The sequence below is a fragment of the Homo sapiens genome, chromosome X (genome assembly GCF_000001405.40).
Source record: "Homo sapiens chromosome X, GRCh38.p14 Primary Assembly".
Taxonomy (NCBI): Eukaryota; Metazoa; Chordata; class Mammalia; order Primates; family Hominidae; genus Homo; species Homo sapiens.
This window is the reverse complement of record NC_000023.11, coordinates 134421991-134442425: the sequence shown is the minus strand read 5'-3', so window position 1 is coordinate 134442425 and position 20435 is coordinate 134421991. Positions and strand designations below refer to the sequence as shown.

The 20435-nt window shown below is 38.7% G+C and overlaps 1 protein-coding gene across 2 annotated transcripts in view; it reads right to left on the bottom strand.

The window, feature by feature from the left end:
- PHF6 (PHD finger protein 6) overlaps nt 13636-20435 on the bottom strand; it is a 55479-nt gene continuing 48679 nt past the window's right edge. The window contains exons 10-11 of one of the 2 annotated variants that reach the window (NM_001015877.2): nt 17096-17225; nt 13636-16765 (exon numbers count right to left, since the gene is read on the bottom strand). In NM_001015877.2, the coding sequence (NP_001015877.1) occupies nt 17096-17225 (130 nt within the window). In that variant the 3' untranslated portion in view covers nt 13636-16765. Of the gene's footprint in view, nt 17226-20435 lie in introns of both variants that reach the window. The other variant, NM_032458.3, reaches the window with a different exon arrangement.

Sequence of the window (20435 nt, the reverse complement as noted above, 5' to 3'; positions counted from 1 at the left end):
ATCCCAGAATCATTCATTGGCTATAAGGGGAGTATAGCTTCCTAGGTTCCCATCAGGCAAGGGCAGATAATCAGAGGTCGCAGAAGTAAGCTGCACTTGAAACAGATGTGGGATGGGGTGCTAGCCGGTGAAGAGAGCCGGGCAGGGCACCAATAGCATCTACTACACCCAGGTCCACAGGCTACATCAAATGGATACTACTGAACATAAGTCACCATGGATATATTTGGAAATACCTTCATAAGAAACCAGTTTAAAGGAATAATATCTGCATGAATATAATGCTAATAAAGACTATGTGTACTGTATAATTAAGACTATGCCTATTTTCCACCATTTGTTAGAAATTTATTTATTTATTTATTTATTTTGAGATGGAGTTTCACTCTTGTCACCCAGGCTGGAGTGCAGTGGTGCAAATTCGGCTTGCTGCAACCTATGCGTCCTGGGTTCAAGTGATTCTCCTGCCTCAGCCTCTCAAGTAGCTGGGATTACAAGTGTGCACCACCATGGCCAGCTAATTTTTGTATTTTTAGTAGAGACGGGGTTTCACCATGTTGGCCAGGCTGGTCTCGAACTCCTGACCTCAGTTGATCTGCCCACCTTGGCCTCCCAAAGTGCTGGGATTACAGGCGTGAGCCACCGCGCCTGGCCCATTTGTTAGAAATTTTAAAAGCCTTGGCTGGGCTCAGTGGCTCATGCCTGTAATCTCAGCACTTTGGAAGGCCGAGGCTGGTGGATCATTTGAGGTCAGGAGTTCGACACCAGCCTGGCCACCATGGTGAAACCCCGTCTCCACTAGAAATACAAAAATTTGCCAGGCATGGTGGTGGGCACCTGTTATCCCAGCTACTTGGGAGGCTGAGGCAGAAGAATCACTTGAATCTGGGAGGCAGAGGTTTCAATGAGCCAAGATCACGCCACTGCACTCTAGCCTGGGCAACAGAGCAAGACTCCATCTAAAAAAAAAAAAGGGAATTTAAAAAGCCTTTTAAAATAGCTTATTTTAATAGGTGAATCTAGATAAAACTATAAAAACTACATGATATAGAAATGTTTCTACTTCCACTTTGTGGGTGGACTTTTAAAGACTTAATACCTGACATCTTTTTCTTTTTCTTTTTTGGAGATGGAGTCTCACTCTGTTGCCCAGGCTGGAGTGCAGTAGCACAACCTCAGCTCACTGCAACCTCCGCCTCCTGGGTTCAAGCGATTCTCCTGCCTCAGCCTCCTGAGTAGCTGGGACTACAGGCATGCGCCACCATGCCTGGCTAATTTTTGTATTTTTAGTAGAGATGGGGTTTCACCATGTTGGCCAGGCTGGTCACGAACTCCTGACCTCAAGTGATCCACCTGCCTTGGCCTCCCAAAGTGCTGGGATTACAGCCATGAGCCACTCCACCCGGCCTCCTGACACCTTTTTCTAATAATTATTTAGCAATTGTCTTTTATCTGTTATTTTGATTGCATCTCCTAATATTCTTAAGTGTCTTTGGGAAGTTTAAATTAGTATAAAACTAGAATAATGAGCATTTGATTTGATACAGTCTACCAGAATTGCCTGTAGTATATGCCTATATTCATACATATCTTTACATATATAAATTGTAATATATATGACAAATAATATGTAGATAGTAAATATAATGTGAATTTTCACCTCGATTTCAAAGAAAACTCCAAGAACATGCATTTGCTCCTCCCACCATCTGCAGAGATTTCCATAACAATGGCAAACACTTAATAACATTCACCATTGGAGAAATTTAAACACCGGATGTTTGAAGACAACCAGAGATGATTGTTAAAAATTGGTGGGGAAGGGGTGTTCAATAATAGTATTGTGATTGCATTTTTTAAAAGTATGCATCTTAGAGACATATAATGATATATATGAGGATGAAATGATGTCTTTGGAATTTGCTTCAAAATAAACCATGGTGTGTGGGGACAGGGAATTGGGAGGAATATATATGAAACCAGATGGGAAATTAGTTCATAATTGTTGAAGCTGGGTAATGTGTTCATGGTAAAAACTTTCTGCAGGGCATTTAGTGATATGAATCAATAGACTTTAAAAAATATGTATAAAACTTTGGTGGCCAGCCGCAGTGGCTCAGGCCTGTAATCCCAGCACTTTGGGAGGCTGAGGCGGGTGGATCATTTGAAGTCAGGAGTTCGAGACCAGGCTGACCAACATGGTGAAACCCCGTCTCTACTAAAAATACAAAAATTAGCCGGGCGTGGTGGTGCATGCCTGTAGTCCCAACTACTCAGGAGGCTGAGGCAGGAGAATCGCTTCGACCCAGGAGGCGGAGGCTGCAGTGAGCCGAGATCATGACACTGCACTCCAGCCTGGGTGACAGAGTGAGACTCCATCTCAAAACAACAACAACAACAAAAACTCTTTGACTTGGGAATTTCTGTTCTAGAAATTTATCTTAAGGGAAAAATCAGAGAAGGGCAGAAAGCTCTATGTACAAGAATGTTCATCTCAGCATTGTTTATTTTTAGATGTTTATTACCCACGTGTCCTATAAGAAAAAAAGAAGTGTTACTTCAGCAAAATGAAAAAGGAATCTAAGATAGATGAGGACAGGAGATACAAACAAAACAAAACAGTCACAAGTTAAGGGTGAAAACAGTGCAGAAGGTCAATTTCCTCTATTTTGAGTGCACTTCAGTGGAAAAGGTTGAGAATCATTCTGAGTACTGGGGAAGAAGAATGTTCTCTCTAGCTCATCTGAACCAAATAGTTTGTACTCTTTCCTTCAGATGGCTCTTTAGTTAAATATCCTGATGACCTCCTCAAGGCTTATTCCTGTTCCTTGAGTTTGCTGACCCTAGTTTTGAACTTCTTCAGACTCCCTTGGAAAGAGCTGCTGTTTCTGCTGGTGTGTTTAACTTTTAAGCAAAATTGAAAAATTATAGAAAAGGTGCTGGGCGTGGTGGCTCATGCCTGTAATCTGAGCACTTCTGGAGGCTGAGGGAGGAGGATTGCTTGAGCTCAGGAGTTTGAGACCAGCCTTGGCAACATGGTAAAACCCCATCTCTACAAATAATACAAAAATTAGCGGGGTGTGGTGGTGCGTGCCTGTGGTTCCAGCTACTCGGGAGGCTGAGGTGGAAGGATGGCTTGAGCCCAGGTAGTTGAGGCTGTAGTGAGCCACAATCATGCCACTGCACTCCAGGCTGGGTGACAGTGCAAGACACTGTCTCAATCAATCAATCAATCAATAAAATAAAATTTTAGAAAGAAAATTATAGAAAAGTTGCAAGAAAAGCACAAATAATTCCTGTATATCCTTCACGAAGGTTCACCAACTTGTGACATTTTGCCCCATTTGCTTTATCTTTTCGTATATACACACACATTTTTTTCCTGAACCAGTTAAATTGTAGACATGACACTTCATTACTCCTAAATACTTCAGTATGCATTTTCTAAGAATAAGGATATTCTCTTATATAACTACAGTACAATGATTAGAATCAGGAAACTAACATTGACACAATATTATGTAATATTCAATTCATATTTACATTTAGCCAATAGTCCCCAAAATGTCCTTCAGAGCAAGGGTTCCCCCGACCCCGAATTGGCATCCAATTCAGGATGAAGCATTACTTTTAGTTGTCATGTGTCTTTAGTCACCTTTAGTCTGGAACAGTTCCTCAGCCTTTCTTTGTTTCTCAGGACATTTTTTTTTTTTTTTTGAGGAGTACAGGCCAGTCGTTCTGTGGAACATCTTTCCATCTGGGAGTCTCGGCTATTTCTTGGTGATTAGATCAGCACTATTTGCAACAACAAAATGGCAACCATAAAACCTGGAAACAACTGTCCAATGATAGGGAAATGGTTAAGTAAACTATGATACATCCACAAAATGGACTATTATGCGGCCAATAAGAATGACAGAGTATACTGACCTGGTAAGATACTTCCAATTTTTAAGTGAAAAAAGTAGATTATAACTTAATAGGTATGAACCTATTTTTTGTAGAAATGTCTGAAAGATTTTACAAAACATACAATTGTGGCCTACGGGTACTAGAATTATGGGATATTTAAAATTTTTATTTTTACTTATCTGTATAATTTATGTGTAATAAACATCAATTCACCTGTTAATAGTAAAAAAAAAATACACTTAAAATGAGGCTAGCTTCTTGATTTTATATGTGAAGGATCACGGTGTGGAAAAGGGAATACAAATTACTTTTCTGTTAAAAAAAAAAGAATAAAAACGACTTACTATTACGAACCAGCTAATTTCACTTACAATCACTTTATCTTCTATATTCCTTAAGACAATGCAGTCGTTTAAGGGATATCACCCCCATTTTGACAGACGGGGTGGTGGCTGAGGCTGAGAGAAGGGGAATGGTACCTTGCTTAGAGTTATCAGTTATGAGTGGCCAATCTAGTTTTCAAACCCAGGTCTTTCAGACTATAAAACCCTTATTTTTCTCCACCTCACATTGCTCCTGTGTAGCCTCCTGAAAGGCAGGGCTAGGAGAATCAACAGGTGGAAGTTACAAGAAGTTGATTTTTTTTTTTGAGACAGGGTCTTGCTCTGTTGTCCAGGCTGGAGTGCAGTGGCGTGATCATGGCTTATTGCAGCCTTGACCTCCTGGGCTTAAGCGATTGTCCCGCCTCAGCCTCCCCAGTAGATGAGACTACAGGCACGTGCTGCCATTCTCGACTAATTTTTTCTTTTTTTGAGATAGGGTCTCACTTTGTTTTCCAGGCTGGAATGCAGTGGCATGGTCTCAGCTTACTGCAGCCTCACTCCTGGGCTTAAACAATCCTCCCACCTCAGCCTCCCGAGTAGCTGGGGCCGCAGGTGCATGCCACCATGCCTTGCTAATTTTTGTATTTCTTGTAGAGACATGGTTTTGCCATGTTGCCCAGGCTAATTTTTTAATTTTTTGTAGAGATGAGGCCTCACTATGTTGCCCATGTTGGTCTCAAATTCCTGGGCTCAAATGATCCTCCTGCCTCAGCCTCCCAAAGTGCTGGGATGACAGGCATAAGGAGGCGATTTTTTGAACAGCAGAATTGAAGAATTGTGAAATGGGCTGAACTCTCTGTACCTAGAAATGTTGCAGTAGAAGGCAGATGTCATTGAGGGATGTGGCAGAAAGGGCTCCTGGAGAAGAATGGCAGCACCATTTTTCAGCTGTCTGCTGCCTGACTCCATCTGGATATGGGGCTTGGAATCTTGACTAAAATTCTCCATATTTTGGTCTCACAACCTTTCATCTGGTGATTTTCACAGTTTCATAAGAAGGTATGTGTTTCAACTGTTCTTTTCTTGACTAGACAAGAATTACATATGTCTACATATGTACACAAATGCATTTTGGTTTCCCAATGCACCTCGAGCTTTGAGTTGTCTCTGCCATGTGGCATTTTTCATAAGCAAATTGGTTAATCACCTCCATTACCCCTGGATATTACTGGCCCCAACCTCCCACTTTTCTCAATTCTCTTCTACCCTTTCACCTCCCTGTATAGTTCACCCCACCCTTCATCTAGACATTTTACCTTTGCCAAGGAAATAGCAGAATTTATGTAGATTCCTATTAAATCTCTGCGAGCAGGGAAGCAGGTGGGTAGATAGTTCAGGGAGGGTCCCAGCCAGTGAACTTTGCAACGTTGGTTTTATTATTAAATGTGTTACTTCTATTCTTGGGTCACCTGCAAGAGCAGATTAGCAGAGGACCAAACGACAGCACTTGGATTGTCAGCGACATCAAGTAGAGTCAAGATGTAAGATAACTGGCTGGGCGCAGTAGCTCATGCCTGTAAACCCAGCACTTTGGGAGGCTGAGGTGAGAGGATTGCTTGAGCTCAAGAGTTTGAGACCAGTCTGGGCAACATACCAGAACCTCATCTCTACAAAAATTAAAAAAAAAAAAAAAAAAAGCAGGCTGGGCGCGGTGGCTCACGCCTGTAATCTCAGCACTTTGGGAGGCTGAGGTGGGAGGATCACAAGGTCAGGGGTTCAAGACTAGCCTGGCCAATATGGTGAAACCTCGCCTCTACTAAAAATACAAAAATTAGCCAGGTGTGGTGGCACGCGCCTGTAATCCCAGCTACTCAGGAGGCTGAGGCAGGAGAATCACTTGAACCCAGGACGTAGAGGTTGCAGTGAGCCAAGATCACACCATTACACTCCAGCCTGGACGACAAGAGCGAGACTCTGTCTCGAAAAAAAAAAGGGCTAGGCGTGGTGATACATGCCTGTAGTCCTAGCTACTTGGGAGGCTGAATCAGGAGGATTGCTTGAGCCCAGGAAGTTAAGACTGCAGTGAGCTGTGATTGTACACTGCACTCCAGCCTGGGTGACAAAGCAAAACCCTGTCTCAAAAAAAAAAAAAAAGAACTGGAAAAACACCTACTGGTTTTCGCAACAGTCATTGGTAAACTTTGCTGGGGCAGTTTTTGTGTAGTTGAGAGAAGTGAAGGTGGGGAGACAGAAGTGAGTGCAGTGGGTTGATGAACAAATAATAAAAATAGAGAAATGGAGATATCAAGTGGTAACTTGACTTTCAAGAAAATTATATGAGGAGAGAAATGGGAATTATATGAGAAGAGGAGAAAAGCTAGACTTGGGAACACAGGTACAAGGGCCAGTGTATTGGGGGATGGGAGAGTCTTGGGTCTATGCTCACTCCGTTAATCCTCACAAGTCTATGAGTGAAATATGATTTCTATCTGCATTTTATTTATTTAGAGTTATTTATTTATTATTTTGAGCTCTGTCGCCCAGGTTGCAGTGTTGCAGCATCCGCCTCCCTGGTTCAAGCAATTCTCCTGCCTCTGCCTCCCGAGTAGCTGGGATAACAGGCACTCACCACCACGTCTGGCTAATTTTTGTATTTTTAGTAGAGACAGGGTTTCACCACGTTGCCCTGGCTAGTCTCAAACTCCTGACCTCAAGTGATCCGCCCACCTCAGCCTCCCAAAGTGCTGGGATTACAGGCGTGAGCCACCGCACCTGGCCCCCTGAATTATTTAAGGAAATCTCAGCTATCCCACCACTTTACAATAAGTATTTCAGTATGTATATCTAAAAGATACACTCTTATTTCTAGTGTTTTCCTCATGATCTTTAAAATCTCTACTACATCTATAGTAATGTTCTGTTTTATTTTTAATATTGTTTATGCCTTATTTCCTTTTTAAACTTTAAATTTTGATGTAAGGTCAAACTTACAGAAATGTTGCAACAATAGTACAAAGAATTCCTGAATACCCTTTGCTCAGATTCACCAGTTTTAAAAAATCTTGTCCCACTTGCTTTATCATTTGCCTTCTCGCTCTGTCTCTCTACCGGTATGTGTCTGTATATATATATTTTCAGAACCGTTTGTAAATTGGAGCTATTGTTCTCCTTGACCTGTGAGTATTTCAGTGTGTATTTTCTAACAAAGACATTCTTTTACACACCAGAGAACAATCAGAAAATTTAGCCTTGATGTTACTACTGTACTCCAATCTTGACAACTGTTTCAATACCATCCTTTATAGTTACTTTTTTCACAGTCCAGGATCACACATTAAATTGTCTCCTGAATCAGGAAGAGTTCCCCAGACTTTGCCTTTCATGACATTGGCATTTTTGACGCATATAGGCCAGTTGTTTTGTAGAATGTCCCTCAATTTGGGTTTGTCTGATGCTTCCCCACGAACAGACTCAGGTTATGCATTTTTGGAGGACTACCACAGAAATTATATTTGTTCTCAGAGCAGCATAGCAGGAGGTAAATAGCATCATTTTTTTCCCATTATTGTTGATGTTCTTTCATTATCCATTTACAGTGGTGTCTTGCCATTGTAAAATTACTACTTTCCACTTTGTAATTAACAACTTGTGGCTTAGTTTGGGGGTAAGTATCCTATTCCTCATCGAGCCTTCACCCACTACTTTTAGCACCCATTGATGACTCTTGCCCAAATCAGTTATTACTACGATTACATGTGTGAGCCACCGTGCCTTGCCTCTATCTGCATTTTAAAGATGAGATCATGGAAGTGGAGAGAGGCTTAATAAATTAAGCAAGCTTCCATGGAATTTGAATCCGGGCCACCAAAATCTAGAGTCTGCACGCTTATGTTTGTAATAGTTTCTAGGTACTATAATGGGAAAGACAAGTAGGTAAAAAGGACAGAAGACTGATGTGGAGAACCTGAGACCAAATGCCAAATGTCTGCGGTGGCATCAGTCTGCATTGTTGTGGTTTTCTTTAGCAGGTCATCTTCCCCAGATATAAGAGTGGGGTGAATTCTAGGCATGGGGAGGTAAAATGAGAGAAGTGGAAAGGTGAGGTCAGTAGTATCAAGAAGTAATTAATGGACGGCTGGGTGCGGTGGCTCACGTCTGTAATCCCAGCACTTTGGGAGGCCGAGGCGGGTGGATCACCTGAGGTCAGGAGTTTGAGACCAGCCTGGCCAACATGGTGAAATCCTGCCTCGACTAAAAATACAAAATTAGCTGGGCGTGGTGGTGCACGCCTGTAATCTCAGCTACTCGGGAGGCTGAGGGAGGAGAATGGTTTGAACCTGGGAGGTGGAGGTTGCAGTGAGCTGAGATGGCACCATTGCACTGCAGCCTCGGCAACAAGAGTGAGACGCCGTCTCAAAAAAAAAAAAAAAAAAAAAAGTAGAAACCACACTAGCTTATCAGCAATAAGAATGGAGAGGATGGATCCAAAAGGCAGAGTGGTAGATTTTGTGGAACTTAGCAAGTGGATGTGGAAATCCAAGTAGACCAATTGTAACCCTACTGACTGATGGTGTCATTAACAAATAGATAAAATTCAGCTCAGGACAACTTAGTTTGGGACTCACATTTGGGTAGCCACCAGATTGGGTAGACATGTCCAGAAGAAGTGTTGAGACTTAGCCTGAAGCTGCAGTGAGTGGAAGATGATCATGTGGAACACACAGGTGGCACCTGTAAGCAGATCGTGGTGATAGGGAAGAATAATCCAAGATGGCAAAGACCAGAACCAGGTGACACTTATGTTAGGGGTAGGGAGAAGAGTCAGAAAAGGAGTGGTCTTGAAGGGGTGGTACAGATACGGGAACTAAGGAAAGAGAGTTTCCCGGAAGGCATCAAAGGAAAAAAAGAATAAAGTTGTGACTGAAGTTTTGCATCAATCTTTCTAGGAAGTGGCCTATAAACTGTAGGGTGCATTTCCAAGTTCCATGCAATGGTGTGTCCCCAGTTATTAAATGCTCCAAAGACCACAGTAAAAGCTGCCTAAAGTTTTTCTCTCCTACCCTGCCTCTTTGCTAAGCAACATACGTTTTCTTTAATGCTTTTTTCCCCCCCTGCATCCCCAGCACACTGGCTAGCTGCCCTAAGCTGTTTGGGCACATGGAATAGGTTGAAGCGCTTAATAACAATTCTTCTAAGGGACGTCCAGAAAGAATGTTGTATTTAAGGATAATGCCAAAATACCAGCTCTTTGATCTGGAACTTTCAGAAACTGCTTATCTTTTGTGCTTGCTCTCTAACCAGGAACATATGAGAACAGGGTCCAAATAATTATTGCTTCCTGGTAATACTAAATCAATACTAAATATAGAGCATAAGCCTATTGGGCTTAAGGATCAGGAACGTTTGAAAATAAGCCTTTGTGTTAAATTGTCTGGCTAGCCTCTGAAATAAAAATAACAGCAGTCTCCATGATTGCTACAGTTCTAAGTTACAAACCTTTTTCAATAAAATTGTTGCTTGGCTAATGTTATAAATACTAATTAGCGACAAATGTGATTTTGAGAATTTTAAAACTAATTTTCATGTAGCATTAATTCATCCTTCACTACATTCAATTTATTCTTTATTTTAAAACTTCCATGCTGACTGACCAGCATAATTCAGTACCCATGTTATTTTTACCAATTTATTTTCAGACATGCAGGTGACTGTTGCTTGAAATTGCTAAATGACAAAAATAATAGCTCATTTTTGGCAAATGAGCTGAAAGTATCTTGACAATTTTTCTGATTAGGCTTAGATTTTATTCATAAAAGGACAAAACAACTACTTGAAGTGAAAACTTCAGATGACTTCATCTTGTTTCATGTAACTGACCATTTGTTAGGCACAGTCATAATTTTGGGAATAAGAACCATCATATGACAGATAAAGGTCATAGGAGTTCTTCAACAAAACAGTACACAGCCCCTTCAGGTGTCCTGAACTGAGCTACATATGACTCTGGACACCGGGCAGGTCCATCTGGAAACAACAGACAGTGATGAGCAATCTATTACTTTTCAGAAAGCAGGAAGGGAAGTGATTCACCAGCTACTGCTGTTAATACATACGAAATAAACCTTTCAATTTAGCCTTTTCACAAATGAAATGTAGTGCCCCATTTCTCAATGATGATTCATATGTCACTTTCAGATACAGTCTATATGGGTTTTACAATACAATCAAACCCCATAGAATTTTCTGGAGTGTGTGTGTTTTTTCTTAAAGGCACCACACTTAAAAGCACTCTTCTGGAATGGAGAAGTGGGCAAGCTTAATCCCTGGAATGGATGGGTAATTTTTTTTTTTTTTTTGAGGTAGAGTCTTGCTCTGTTGCCCAGGCTGGAATGCCGTGGAGCCAACACGGCTCACTGCAACTGTGACTTCCCAGGCTTAAGCGATCCTCCCACCTCAGCCTCCTGAACAGCTGGGACTACAAGCGCATGCCACCACGTGTGGCTATTTTTTCTGGTTTTTTTTTTTTTTTTTTTTGTAGAGATGGGGTTCTCACTATGTTGCCCAGGCTGGTCTTGAACTCCTGGGCAATCCTCCTGCCTCAGCCTCCCAAAGTGCTGGGATTACAGATGTGAGCCAAAAATGGACGGCTGGCAATTTTTATCAAAACTTTAAATGTACATACCCTTGACTTAGCAGTTCTACTTCTGGAAGTTTATCCTAAGAAATTACTTGCATAAAGGATATATGTAAGGCTGGAGAGAACAATTTCAGTTCATCCATATACTGAAATACCATGGAGCTATTTAAAAAAAAAAATTGAGAAATCTAGAGGTACTGACACCTTGTAATGTTGTTCAAGTAAAAAAGACGAGGTGCAGAACTGTATGTATGATTCTATTTATGGTAAAAATATTCTATTTTTTATGCATGATTCTATTTATGTTATGCATGATTCTGTTTATGTAAAAAAAGTGTTTATGTTATATATGTACAGAAGCATTTAGAAGAATATGTATCAAATACTTCTAGGGAGTAGACTTGTACAGAAGGGGGGGTTTTCACATTTTGCTTTATATACCTTTGTATTTTAATTTTGTAAAATGGCTACATAGCACTTTAAAAATTGAGATAAAATTAATATAAAATCCACTCTTGCCGGATGTGGTGGCTCACGACTGTAATCCCAGCACTTTGGGAGGCCGAGGCAGGTGGATCACCTGAGGTCGGGAGTTCGAGACCAGCCTGACCAACATGGAGAAACCCCCGTCTCTACTAAAAAAAATAGAAAATTCGCCGGGCACGTAATCCCAGCTGCCTGTAATCCCAGCTACCTGGGAGGCTGAGGTAGGAGAATCGCTTGAACCCGGGAGGCAGAGGTTGTGGTGAGCGGAGAGATCGGGCCATTGCACTCCAGCCTGGGCAACAAGAGCGAAACTCCATCTCAAAAATAAATAAATAAATAAATAAATAAATCCACTCTTTTAAAGGGTATAATTTATGATTTTTAGTATATTCACAAAGTCGTGCAACCATCAACCAGTACCTAATTCCAGACATTTCACCACCCCCAAAAAGAAACAGTATAACCAATAAAAGTCATTTCTCATTCCCCCATGTTTGCAGTCCCTGGGAGCCATTAATCTGTATTCCATCTCTATGGATTTGCCTCTCTGAACAATTCGTATAAATGGAATCATACAATATGTGACCTCTGTGCCTGGCTTCTTAGCATAATGTTTTCAAGGCTCATACACACTGGCATATGTATCAGTAATTCATTCCTTTTTATGACCATATATTACTTTAATACAAAATCTGTAAACAGGTCTGATTTTTAAAACACTCAGAAACAACTTACCCTTCTGTACCAATTACTTTATAGAAACTCAACAACAACTCTAAATCCAGTCTCATATAAAAGCATAGTTTCTGTCTCCCAATTCCTAATACTGTCTTCAATATCTAGTTTCTCAGGTTCCATTTAAAAGGCTACCCTCTCAAACAGTACTCTTGTTTTCATTGGAATATTATCGTTCACACAGTAGAGCTAGCTAGCTCTTTGCCCAGCTACATTTTATTTTCCCTATCTCCTCACCACTGCCCCACAACCAGCATAAAAACCCACTTACAGCCACTGAGAGGTATAGGCAAAGGTATAATTTGGATGTTTACGGATCTGCTGTCTTTTGACGAGGATGCAGGTCTGGTTGACTGACTTCAGTACACTGACCGTATGTAGAGCATGTCTGCTATCGTGTAACACTTTCCAAATGCCACCATTAACTTGTACAGTAATTGGTTATTTTATAGTTTTCATCTTCTGAATAAAAATCACAAATACATTTTTGCTTTACATCATTAATATTCAGTTACCTCACTATCTGAACAAGGCAGTATTATGTAACATTGGTTGATGTATAAAGTACCATTTTGCCTACACAACTGAGGACTTAGTCTAATATGTAAATGTAAAAGGGATTGGGTTTTTCTCTTAAAAAGATAAACTAGCCATCTGCTGGCCATAGAATTTTCCTAAGAAATTCTACCAGGTCCATCCTTTGGAGTAACCTTAGCAATTGCTGGTGACTGCAGCTGGAAAAAAAAACAAAAACAAAAACCAGCTTAAATAGTTTCAATTAGCTAAAGAATAGCACATAACTCCCCATCTCCATATTTTTATGGCAATTAAAATGAGACTTTAAAAATTGGTGGCAATTAAAATGAGACTTAATAATGGATTTTAAACACACACAGGCACATATGTGCCAGGCACTACTAGGTAACATTTGCAGTGAAGTACACTATCCTATGTTCCGGAGTTAATTAGAACATGTTACTTGATTTTTTACCCCACTCTGCAGGTTAGGAATTGTGTGTATGGAATGAGCATATCCTACTAATTACAACTTGATTTCTGCCCTGGATGTGACAAACCTCAATATATGAGCACTGTACTAGAAGCACACTGTCCATGGTAATGGGAGTACATTTAAAGATATAAGGTAAAATCCCTTTATGACAAGGATATTAATCCTGCACCCATATTGCCAATCTGATAAATAGTACTAGGAGTTTTGGTTTATTTTCAAAATAACCTTCTAACTAGGTTTCAGAGGATCTGATTTAAACGATGGGCATCTGAACCATGTAATAAAAAAACCAAGATGTAATGCAGTTCGATTGTACTTACAAGATTGCAGTTTCTCTCCATGATAAAACTTTTATATTGTGAAACTTTGAACTGAATTCAAATTCACACTTTTTTTCCTCCCATACTTGTTTAATGAAAAGTTATTAAGGCATTTTACTCTGAAATAAAGCAAGACTAAAAGGAACACAATACTATTGCTGTTATCAAATAAGCTTCAGTATACACTTTCACAAAAAAGACAAACAAATATGAAAGTCATAAGTCATTTATTGAATGAATAGTATATGCAAGAATACCAATAAAAGGAAACTAATACTACAAACTACAATTTTGAAAATAAAGCCAATATAACAGGAACAAAATATACATAACATGAGAGGAATGTTTGATTTTTGACCCATAATGCATTCCTTATCTTTACAATTAACCTAAATGTCTGTTAGAACAAAACTGTATACCTTGGTCTAACTTCAGCGCTTTTTTTAAAAAAGCAACAACACTCTAGAACACTTTTTCTTTTGCTTTGAGATATTTGAGATTCACACATTTGTTCAAGTACACAGATTCTGATTCAATAGCAGATCTACAGATCTTGTTATCTCTTAATATCTTGAGTAGCATGTACTTCTGAGCAAGTACTATCTGAAATTCTAAAACTGCTGATTCTTGAAATAAAATTTACTTCAGTTGTGGGTTTTTAATAACTTGAGATGAAAGTAAAATTCACCCCCTGCCCCCCTCCCCCAGGAACAAAGAGCTCTTCTTAAAAGTATAGAAACTCAAGTCTATCTTTCTACTCTAAAGAACATTTCCTACTAACATTTCTGGTAAGGCAATAAATGCTCCAGAATAATCTTCAATATACGCTTGCAAAGATTACACTGTTTAATATCAATAACAAAAAACAAAACAAAAAAAGAAAAAAGAAAGAAAAAAGACGCTTCAAAATTTCAGGCTAAAATATGCATAAAAGACAGTAACGGCAGTATTTTTTGAAATGATGTAAATGTTATATACTTATCAAATAATGTCATGCTTATTAAAACTACAGTTAAGGACTTAAGAGATGTACAGTAAATACACTGCTGAGGTCCATTTTTCTAAATATTAATACCACAATGTAATTACTACCCAGAAGATGATGATGCTACTTGGGAACATAAGTACTGTACAATTTTTACATTGTAAGGCACTTTTACTCAGCATGTGACGAAAACATGATTAGAGAATCAAAACATTGGAGGTTTACAACCAAACATGATTTTTCATGTGAATTCAATTTACATTTGAATTTTTAATGCGAGATTGTTTAGCCAATCACACCACAGTGAGAAAAACAGGTAGTCAGCCACTTATCTAGCCAACCAAAAGGTAAAGTGCTATTCTGGTTGCTAGTGGCAGAAAAAGGGCTGAAGAAACCCATACAAAGTCATACATTTTACTACATAACAAATTCATCAACTGACAGCTATAGTATTTGAACTCCTTTATATAATTATTGACTGGCCATGATTACCCCCGGCACCTTCCATTTTTCCTAAAAAAAAAATGATTACAGTAGTTGTCCAAAAATGAAGGAGCTCTGTTGTCCCATGGGTAAGTCTATGGCACACAATGTAAAAAATGATCTAGACACAGTGATTTAAGGATTTTAAAATAATGATTTTCAAGCTGTTGTAAGGAAAGAAAGTACAGATCCTTTGGGAGAAGTCACATAGCTTGGTAAACAAACATCTAGATCTGTCCTTGCACTTCAAGTCATGAATTTTGAAAATCACATACACACAAAAACCCAATGGCATATTAAGAGCAAAAAGAGAAAACATACAGGGCAACCCACTACTAAAGCTAGTTTCCTTCTAAAAATAGTAAAAGATGGTTAAAATAAAAGCAAGCATTGAGTCCCTTGATTTAAGTAAATGTGTGAATACACACTTGACAAACGTGATCTTAAGGGACTCGCAGTTTAAAAAAAAATCAGTCATTAAGCACAGTGTAATTTTCCACCTGTTACATTTTTAAAATGCTGCTCTATCAGCTGCAGAATATCTCAATGTACAGTCAAGTTAACATTATTATTTCTTATTTAAAAATCTGCTTTATTGTGGTGGCTTAATAATTCAACTAGTCAAAATCCCTCCCCTTGGTACTGAGGTGCTATGGTAGTATCAGGCAGACCACAACTAAAGTTATTTGGTTTTGCCATAAAGAAATGCATAAATGTGCTTCAGCAGGTAAGTGGAAGAAAATATCACTACCTAGAAATGCCAGTGTGAAAATCCTTTCTAAAAAGCTGGGTTCTTAGGCTTTCAAAAACAATTCTGACAATCGATAAAACACCACCAAGCCCTACAAGAAGAAAAGTAGGGCACAAAAGCCTATTTTATAGATAACCAAAGCAATGACTGAAAACATTAAAATATTAAATAAAGTTTCTAAAATAGTGGTCACAAAAGTAAAAATAAATACTGTTTTATGCAAAGACTTTTTTACTCCTACAGCACATGAGACCTCCTTACGTACTGTGCGCCAATATGTGAAGTGTTCCACACAACAGGGCACTTGAGAGGAACAGGTTTCGGACATGGTGTCTGAAGTCCTTAGCAAGCGGTAACCCTTTCTTTACATCTTAAAAACGTTTAATTTGCTGTTGCCAAATGTTAGTTTAAACTTGAAGGACTCAATCATTTTGCCAGAAGTCCTTTGTATAACATGGAAAGAGAGGAGGTGTGCTGTCAAGAGAATTTTGGCAAAAGCACTGGAGCTCATAGCTTATCATTACCAGTTGCCTGAGTCCATGCTGGTCAGTGAGAACAACTTTAACAGGAACCAAATGAAAAGCTTTAGCATACTTCTTGGAAGAGATTTTTAGCATGTGCTGTCAAAGTCAAGAGAAAAAGAAGGTTCTCTTCATTTCTAGCCTCCATTACTTGAGTATGAAAAAAAAATCCACAAATTACCATGTGCTGCCACCAGTGGCATGTTTGCATTGTAAAGGAAAATTTGCTTATGCTTTCCTTTGAGTATGGATCCACTAAACAAACTTAAATGCTCTAAACAGCAGAGCTTTGTTCAGTCCAGAAATATAGCTTACTTCGTTTCGTCTGCTTTAACTGTTGACACTATACACAGGGTTAATAGTGTTTCAATTGCTTCCCAGAAACTGCAAACTATAGCTACGTAATATCAACATGTCAAACTCAGCCTTCTAGTGAGGGCTCATAAAACAAACAAGACATTTTTAGGCAGTTCAATGAAGGATCTAAGAGTTGGGCAGTAAAAAGTTACAAACCCTTTTTGATTTTAGAAAACAGTGAAAAAAGAATAGTAGTTATGGATGTCTTATTCATTCCCAGTTTTCTAACTCTGTCCCATGAACCTGTTTAAAAGATGATAAAAAAATGTAAAATATGATGCTTGAGGGGAACACAATCAATATAATGTTATTGAGGAGTGTGAATATCTTATTGATTTGACATTACAACTACACTTATTGATAAAGCAGATAGCTTGTTTTTATGGTTACAAAATCAGCTAGTTAAAAAACAACTACTATGCAAGCCTACAAAATCCTCAGCATTTTAGTAACATGCTCTTAACTAAACATAATAGGATTAAAAAAAATCTTACTGCATACCATTACTTCAACATGTATATATCAGTGTGTATTGTATCCTGACAACAGATCCCATATAATTAACTTTCATACCTAGTTTCCATTAAGTTGCTGCTGAGTTAGTTGTTGCTGATCAATTTCTACTTTTCCTCGGCTTTTACTCTCTCGTTCCTCATCTTCTTCATCTCTCTCATCATTTCCACTATGATTTTTACAGTATAGTCTACAATGATGAAAGACAAAAATCTCAAAATGCTTTGTCACTGCTGATGAACATTCCTGCCAACATTAGTGGATGAGGCTAGTGCCCATTTAAAACATGGGTTTCCTCATCCACACTTTAAAAAATACTCCCCAATTAGTTACAGACCCATTTTTATCTAACAGATAGGAAAACACACTATTATTGAGATAATAAAAGTTCATCTGAAACAAAATCTCTGGTTTAGGATGACAGTTATCATAAGGCAATTCCTCATTTTGCCCAATGAGATTAAAAGCAAAGTTTTGGCCAACTTAAAAATACCAACCTTCAGGTATATTGATGAAATAATCAAATTCTATAAATTTGTTTCATATATTTAATTTAAAATCACATTTCAGGAAATATATATTCTATCTATACTGCTGCCTTCTGCTCACATTTGATGAAACAATTTTACTCAAACTCTTCAAATGGTTTTTCATTATTAGCATCCTAGCCTTCACTGGAATACCTACATGAGCCATCCAACAGTTTTCCGGCACTGCATTTGGCTATGTCTCTTTTAATCTAGACTGGTCCTTCCAACTTCTTGTTTTTACACAACACTGACTTTTTAGGATGAGATTAGACCAGACAGTCTGTCAACTGTAGCAAATTCTGGACTTGTCTAATTGTGGTACTGTTTTATTTGGTTCTCTCTCGCCCTGTATTTCCTATACACTGGGAATAAGGTCTAAAGGCTTGGTTAGCTTCAGGTTCAGCTTTTCTTTTTCAGTCAAGACACTCTGTAGGTAATCCTGCATATTTCAGGAGGCATCTAATTTCAAAATGTCCTGCTACTGGGTGACACTATGTTTGATCATTTGGTTAAAGTAGTGGTGATGACCAGCTATCTCCATTGTAAAGGTAGGTTTTCCCCTTTAAATCTGGAAAGTTATCTCTGGAGTGCTAATTTGATATCATGCTTGGTTCTAACCTTTTATTTGGGTATACAGATTGTATATTTAAAATTCATTAGGTTTTAAATAAAAATCGTAATATAGGTGATTTGGACAATCAAACAAGGGCAGGCTGATTTGAGCTCAGTTTTTTTTTTCTTTTTTTTTTATTATACTTTTAAGTTCTAGGGTACATGTGCACAACGTGCAGGTTTGTTACATATGTATACATGTGCCATGTTGGTGTGCTGCACCCGTTAACTCATCATTTATATCAGGTATATCTCCTAATGCTATCCCTCCCCCGTCCCCCCATCCCACGACCGGCCCTGGTATGTGATGTTCCCCACCCTGTGTCCAAGTGTTCTCATTGTTCAATTCCCACCTATGAGTGTAAGGCGATTCCTCAGTTTTATGTCTATTATACATAAGACGACAATGGAAGAATGCTTAGAACATGTTCACTGGATGCCCTCTTGTGGTCAGCAATAGATGAAAAAAATCATCTAGGAATTCACATGTTACAAATAGATTATCTAAACTAGGTCTAATATTTGAGTAGAATAAAAGGCAGGGGTGGGGTTCAGGACACAGTGGACAACAATAACAACTGACTTTAATCTAGTTTTGTTCATTATTTCTCTTTTTAGTCTTAAAACATTTTCAATAACTTTCAAAAAGCTAGGGAGAATCTGTACACTTCAAATACTACACATTGGGAACTACCTCTTTTTAAATTTTTAAATCATGAGTTTAAATATCAAGAGTGAGATTCCTACACAATGGCACCTACGAAGAATCTTCCCATAAAATATAACCTGAATCTAATTAAACTTCTGAACCAACCTCTAGTTTACAAGAAATGGGAGAGAGGGATAGAGACACAAGTTAAATGGCATCATGAAATGGCAAAGAGACAAATCTAGAATGTGGGACTTAGGACAATTTATCGAGGCTCTTCAATAAGTAAGGGGACAAGTATGTCCGTATTTAGACTTAAGAGACATATCAAATGCAATGGATGGACCTTGCATGTATCCAGATTTCAACAAATTAAGTCTAAAATGAGATTTTTTTTATACAACTGGGCAAATGTGAAAATGGATTGGGTATAAGATGATGCTAAGAAATAATTGTTAATTTTACAAAGTGTGATAATGGAATAATAATTATATAATGACAAGACATCTGGGATTTTGCTTTAATATATATACTTCAGGAAAATAAACAATATACTTCAGGAAAATAAACAATAGATAAAGCAAGTGTGGCAATAACTTGCTAACTGCTGATATGAGGACTTGTTATACTATTCTGTTTTTGCTTACATTTGAAAATCGTCTTTTTAATAGGAAGTTCCCTCTAACAGGACAAGTGCTTTGTTGTTGGAGCAACTTTTAATTATTTTATGGGATTATTTTTTACTTGCAGAATATTTCCCATAGGCCCTTATATGGCCTTCACTAGTCTAGGTGCTAAGGTTACAGGTGTCAACTGGTCAAACAAGGTCCCTGCTGTCACAGAACTCCATTTTTTATGGTGGGAGGCTGACATTTTAAAAAAATCCATATTGAAATAGTTAAAAATACAATAAAGACAATAAAACAGGATAAATATAAATAAAAATTATTATCTATCCCTCCCTAGTCTTTCGAATAGGAATACAGTCAGGACCCAGAAAGGGCTGGTAAGGAAGAAAAGCCATAGTTAGGAGACAGGGAAGCCACTTCATTCAGAAATATTCCTCCCTGCATTTCCTCTTATTTGTCCCTTCTTCTCTCCCCAAACTACCCACCTATGGGCTCTCATTTGAACTCAGTTGTGTCTATCTGGAATCCACATTACAAATGGATTGCAGAAACACATCTCAATGGGAGAAAAGAAAAAGAGCAATTCAAATCATTATGGATCCAAGTACATATATTTTTGTTTTGTCACTGAAATATGGTTGTCTAATAGCTAAAAAGCAAAAACAACCTAGATGTCTGAAAAAGGAACCAATAGAATAAACTGATATACCTATATGATGGAATATTATGCAATCATTAAAATGGATGTAGGCTGGGCACAATGGCTCATGCTGTAATCCCAGCATTTTGGGAGGCTGGGGCGGGTGGATCGCTTGAGCCCAGGAATTTGAGACCAGACTGGGCAACATGGTGAAATCTCGTCTGCACAAAAAAAATTAGCCGGGTATAATGGGGTGCCCCTGAGGTCCCAGCTACTTGGGAGGCTGAGGTGAGAGGATCACATGAGCCTGGGAGGTTGAGGCTGCAATGGGTTGTGATCG